Genomic DNA, 6,075 nt, shown 5'->3' on the forward strand with positions numbered 1-6,075 from the left:
AAATTATGTCCAGCATCAGAAAGAAATGGCAAAATCTATTGACTACCAAACTTGTCAATTTTGGGCTACCAGAAACAATATTTCTGAATTCTCTAAGAATTCTTAAGGAGAAAGAATTGGTTGCATCTAGTCAGTGTTGAAATGCTGTTTACTGTTGTAACACTATAATAAACAGTATTTTAAAAAGCTACATTTCAACAGATGTCAAATTCTTGCTCCCATTATAAGAATAAGCCTATTTTGAAGTCCAATTATAGATATTGTTGGAGAACTTCTGGGTGCTGCCTAATTCCGAGCCTCGACATTCTTCCTGTCTCTGAAAGGATACTAAATCCTACATACAGATCCAGCTCTGCTTCCTTCTTAAAATCACTTTCAACCTCAGCCAGAGGCATTTTCAAAGCTGCTGCCTAACCTAGTAATACTCTGAATCATGTTGCTCTTGACTGCAAGTCAGTCTTCATCATGTGGTTTGTCTCTTCAAACACGGTTTCTGTCTTTTTCTCTGAAGACTCTTTGCTAATTTGTTATAGTAACAGGCTTACTAACTTGCTCTGAATACCCAAGTCTCTGTGTTAGTAACCCATGTAAGATCCCATTTCTTTAGGATTCAGTTCCTGTTTTGCTTGGTTTTTCAGTGCCTTTTTTACTCAGAACACATTTGTGGCTGGGATGTAGCTATTCTAATAGTATTCCAGAGCATAAGGATTTCAGAGTGTGCCTCAGGGCTGGAAGTATGGAGAAGTCCCATGCTTGGAACTTCAGAATGCCCACACCCTACTTCATTTATTACAAATTTACTTAATTCATTATATATGTTAGGAACTATTCTAGAAAGTACATTCATTCAAAATAGTTGCATTTTTAAATTCTGTAGTTTCACTATTTAAAAATATTTTCAAAATCATTGTGAGAGTATAAAATGCTAATATTTCAAATTAGTAAGAAAAGGAGCAGAGATTTTTGTGATTTATGCAGTTTCACACAGCAAATAATGACATCATTTATGAGTTATTCATATGTGCCTAACATTGTACTGGGTACTTTAGATGTGATCATTCTTTTCATCTTCTCAATGAATGAATTGGGTTAGTACAATTATCATTCCCATTATAAATATGAGGAAAAGCAGCACGTCTATTAGGTGATGTATCCAGGCTTTGCATTCTGGAATTTGCCTCCACCTCCTTCAGAAGTCTTTTACCGTTGTGTTAGAAACTCTGACTCCTGATTCAGAGACATTTTTATGGTCACCAACTCTTCCTGCCTACTCTAATTATTGTTTTGCATTAGAAATATTCCCAAAGTTTATTTCTCAAAAATTAAATTATTCATTAAATTATTTACATATCCTTGCTTGAGTAAATATTTATGGCCTAAATGTCACTATCAACAGAGACTCATTGTTTCTTCTTAAATCATTCTGCAAATGATTGTACAAATCTTCTGCAAGTTAAGAGACTTCAATCTTCATGCGTAATTTTGTTAGAGATGAATTATAGCTGAATTTAATAAAACATTTTTGACATGTTAGGTTATTAAATCTTACTTGGAAATGCTTAAATTGATTTTCACATGATCCCTATTTCATAGACTAGAGGAGATTGAATGGTATTGAAATACATATATATGTATAAATACATACAGTATTGATTTCTCTTTATTGGATTCCATCAAAATATATTTAACAAGAATTTTTGTAAAGTAAATTAAGTTTCCAAATGAATTCCATCATAAAATTAGAGACACAATCTTTTGGAATAATGTTTCCAAAAGAGCAAGTGAAAAACAGTTATTTCAAAAAGTAATTTTTATTAGAGACATTTCATGGCATAATCACAGCTACTGGAGATGTATTAGTACCCTTCGAGACACGTGTAACAAAAGACTCTGAGCTCCCAGAACATGCCTTTCTTTTCCTTCTGTCTATGTTCAATTTAGAAGAGCCTGGAACCAATAGATGTCAGTTAATCCACTATAGAAGATATGCTTTACTGATAATATCATAAAATTATGTCTGAGATAAAGGTAAATATTAGTAGAGAAATATATGTAGAGGAGATAAAAAGGTTTAGTGTCCAAGTGTTTGCTGAAAATGATAAAGGAAACATTTTAGTTTATATCTTCAAATACACATACACATTTTAATAGTTCACTTATGTCTAGTGTTAAAGGGAAAGAAGCCATTAACACATGTAGATTTTTGAGATATTTAAAATGTAATTTATAGAACTATGTAATAAACCCAGACAAGAATTACAGTAACAGGATTGAGAGTTAATATAGCTCTAGTTTATTAAATTAAGATTACATCCATTTTATTTTGTTCATTCACAGGATTACATTTTATAGAAATATTTAGAGATAAGAGCTCATCAAAGTGATAATGTTTGGAGTGAGATCTGAAAACCATTCACATTTTAAGAATCACTAAAAAAGGAGAAAGTACTGATATCTGTTTTCAAATAAGTGAATGCCCATCACATAAAACAAACAAACAAAAAAGACAATAAAAGTTGACCAAGTCCTAAGAGTTGAAAGTATAGTAGATATTCGGTCACTTTAAGAAGCAATTTTCTAATGATTATAATTGCTCCTAAATGAATCCTTGTGTTACAAGTTTAACCAGAGGACAGAAAACATTTTTTATTACAGACCATTTTCCTTTAGAGAAACTCCATACCACTTTTTAGTAAGTTTTGTTTTCAAGTAGGGATATATATATTGGAGAAAATTTAGAAAGGACTAAAGTTTAAATAATATGTAAATTTAACATGAGTTCCAGGACACAAATAATAAAGAAATCTTTACTTATACCCAGAGTTGAAGATGATGGTGTTTGAAATAGCTCAAAATGCTAAAGAAAACTTAGTAGGTTGGAGAAGATTCCTGGAGACTTGATGTATAAGGAAGGGATAAATATACCAAAAATAGCTGAGAGAGTGTGCAAGGCAGAAGAAGCAGAATAAATAAATATATGAGAGATAAACACATGGAGAATTGAGGGAATGCATGGTATGAGGAAGATCAAAATGTGAGACAAATCCAAACTTTGAAGAGTTTGTTTCCTGGCTAAAGTACACACCTATGGATGGTTTTTGATACTCAACCAATGGCAATTAAAAAGGCCTTACCTGGCAAGCCGGATGAGAAAAGCTGCCCTCTCCACATATGACTTGGGGCATAGCCAGTGTGTCGCAGTCTCTGAGGTGAGTTGCAGTCAAGGTTTCAGGTTGGGCCTGGCACAGTGACTCACACCTGTAGTCACAGCACTTTGGGAGATTGAGATGGGAGGATCACTTGAAGCCAGGAGTTCGAGACCAGCCCAAGTAACATAGTGAGATCCTGGATGCAAAAACAAATAAATATATAAAAATTAGCCATGTGCTGTGGCACATGCCTCCCAGCTACTCAGGAAGTACTGAATAACTATAGGCAATTATAACACAATAATATTTGTGTATCTAAAAGTATTCAAACATAGAAAAGGTACAGTAAAAATACAATATAAAAGATAAATAACGGTACACAGGTACAGAGCGCTCACCATGAATGGAGCTTGCAGGACTGGAAGTTGTTCTGGGTGAGTCAGTGAGTGAAGAATTTGGAGGCCTAAGACATTATAGTACACTACTGTAGGCTTTATCCATTCTTATTCTTTATTATTCTTAGGCTTCACTTTATTTTTTAAAAATATTCTTTCTTCAATAATAAATTAATCTTATTTACTATACCATTTTTACTTTATAAACTTTTAAATTTGTTTAACTTTTCTGATTCATTTGTAATAACACTTCTTAAAACACAAACACATTGTACAGTGGTCCAAAAGTATTCTTTCTTTACATTCTTATTTTATAATTTTTTTCTATCTTTAAAGTTTATTTTTGTTTTTACTTTTTAAACTTTTTGTTAAAAATGAAGACACAAACACAAACATTAACTTAGGCCTACACAGTGTCAGGATCACCAATATCACTGTCTTCCACCCTCCATATCTTGACCCACTGGAGGGTCTTCAGGAGCAGTAACTGGTGTGGAGCTGTCATCTCCTATGATAACAACACCTTCTTCTGGAATACCCGCGAAAGATCAGCCTGAGGCTGTTTTACAGTAACTTTTTTTTTTCTAAGTAGAAGTATAACTCTAAAAACAACAATTAAAATCATAGTATAGTAAATACATAAGCCAATAACCTAGTCATTTATTATCATTATCAGGTATCATAATTGTGTGTACTATATTTTCATATGACTCACAGTAGGTTTGTTTATACCAGCATCACCACAAACATGAGTAATGTGTTGTGCTAAAATTTTATGACAGGGAGAATGTCATTAGGTGACAGGAATTTTTAAGGTTTATTATAATAAGACCACCATCATATACGTGGTCTGTCATTTACCAAAATGTCATTATGTGGTGCGTGACTGTACTATCACATCACAGTCAATATTGAAATCTTGACTGTTACTTTCATTTTGCCTTGTTATCTTGATTGCCTACTATGACACCTGGCAGCTCAGCTCTCTCCAGCTGAGCTTGTCAGCTCCTGACAAAAGGAAGAAACTTGTGACAGTAAATTTTAAGTGTCAGGTGGACTGGATTACAGGATATCCAGATAGCTGATAAAGCATTATTTCTGAGTATGCCTGTGAGGGTGTCAGTGGCCTGAATAAGGAAGATCTGCCCTCACCCAATGGGAGCAGGTATCATCCAATCAGCTGAGCGCCTGGATACAATAAAAAGGCAGAGACAATGTGAAATAGTTTGCTCTCTGTCTTCCGGAGCTGGGATACCATTTTTCTCTGCCCTTGGATGTTAGAACTCAGTGTTCTCCAGACTTCGGATTCTGGAACTTGCACCAGCAATCCGTCAGGTTCTCAGGCCTCTGACCTCATACTGAGAGTTACTCTGTAAGCTCCCTTGGTTCTGATGCCTTTGGACTTTGATTAATAGTTACACCACCAGTTTCACTGCAAGTTTCTCCAGCTTGCAGATGGCCTATTGTGGAAATTTTCAGCCTTTATAATCATCAGATGAGTCAACTCACTTAATAAATCTTCTATCTATCATCTATCTATCTATTCATCTATTGTTTCTGTCTGTCTCTGGGGAACTCTGATTAATACAGAACTGATAAATAAGAATCTAGAAAGTGTGGAGTTCTGATTGAAAATAATCCTGTGAGTAATAACGGGTGTCAATACTCTAGGCTCAGGCAGAAGTTATGGGAATGCCAGATGGATTTATTAGCTGTCTAGGAGGCAGATTCTGTATGATTTGTCCACTGATGATGTGAGGGCATGTTAAGTCATGAAGAATCATCAAGATTGACGTTTTGATTTATTTCTGGGGAGATTTGGTGGCTTTTGTTTTTCACTCACATACTAAGTAGAATCAGAGATGAATGCGAGAGAGGGGAGAAAGATAGAGAGAGATAGGATGGGGGAAAGAGAAATAGGCTAGCTATTTAGAATAATCAGGGAGATTTTAGAAATAATTTTGATATCTATGGTAATTAAATCATGGCAGTGTTTAATTCAAGGAAAAATGTGTAGAAAGAAAAGAGAAATAAGAAAATAACTCTGGACATACCAATATTTGAGGCCGTGGCCTAAAGTGTACAGCTGGTGAAGTACACTAAAGGTGAAGTGGTAGAAGGAACATTTATTGATTAATTTTTGCCTCATGTAGTTTTAGTCTCACCATATAAGTCTTTCCAGTTCCCCAAGTTCTTTCCTACTTCAGGGTCTGTGAAAAAGTTTATTTCTCTACTTAGAGAATTCTTACTTCCTGTGTCTCCCTACATCTGCTCTGCTATCTGCTATTCACTTACTGGCTTGAATTTAAAAATTTCTTCCTCCCTAAGATGAGTAGAAAAAAATCAGGAGGGTGGAACTAGACAAGCTGTGTTCAAATACCAGCTGTCTCACCTAATAACTCCATGAATTGGAAATCTCTTAACCTCTCTGCACTTCAGCCTCCTCATATGTAAAATACATAATGAGGATTAAATACTGAGAGCATACAGAACCGTGCTGGTCCAGAGCAAGTGCTCAATCAACATTAGCA

General features: G+C 34.7%; 1 long non-coding RNA gene across 1 annotated transcript; it reads right to left on the reverse strand.

Moving 5' to 3' along the window:
* Window positions 1–1,792: 1,792 nt before the first annotated feature.
* On the reverse strand, window positions 1,793–4,840 carry LOC124900833 (uncharacterized). The gene is made up of 3 exons (XR_007058424.1): window positions 4,697–4,840; window positions 3,135–3,345; window positions 1,793–1,947 (listed from the first exon to the last, which is right to left on the reverse strand). It is a non-coding gene; the product is annotated as an uncharacterized LOC124900833 (long non-coding RNA).
* Between the last annotated feature and the right edge of the window lie 1,235 nt (window positions 4,841–6,075).

Source organism: Homo sapiens, chromosome 4, assembly GCF_000001405.40.
Source record: "Homo sapiens chromosome 4, GRCh38.p14 Primary Assembly".
NCBI lineage: Eukaryota > Metazoa > Chordata > Mammalia > Primates > Hominidae > Homo > Homo sapiens.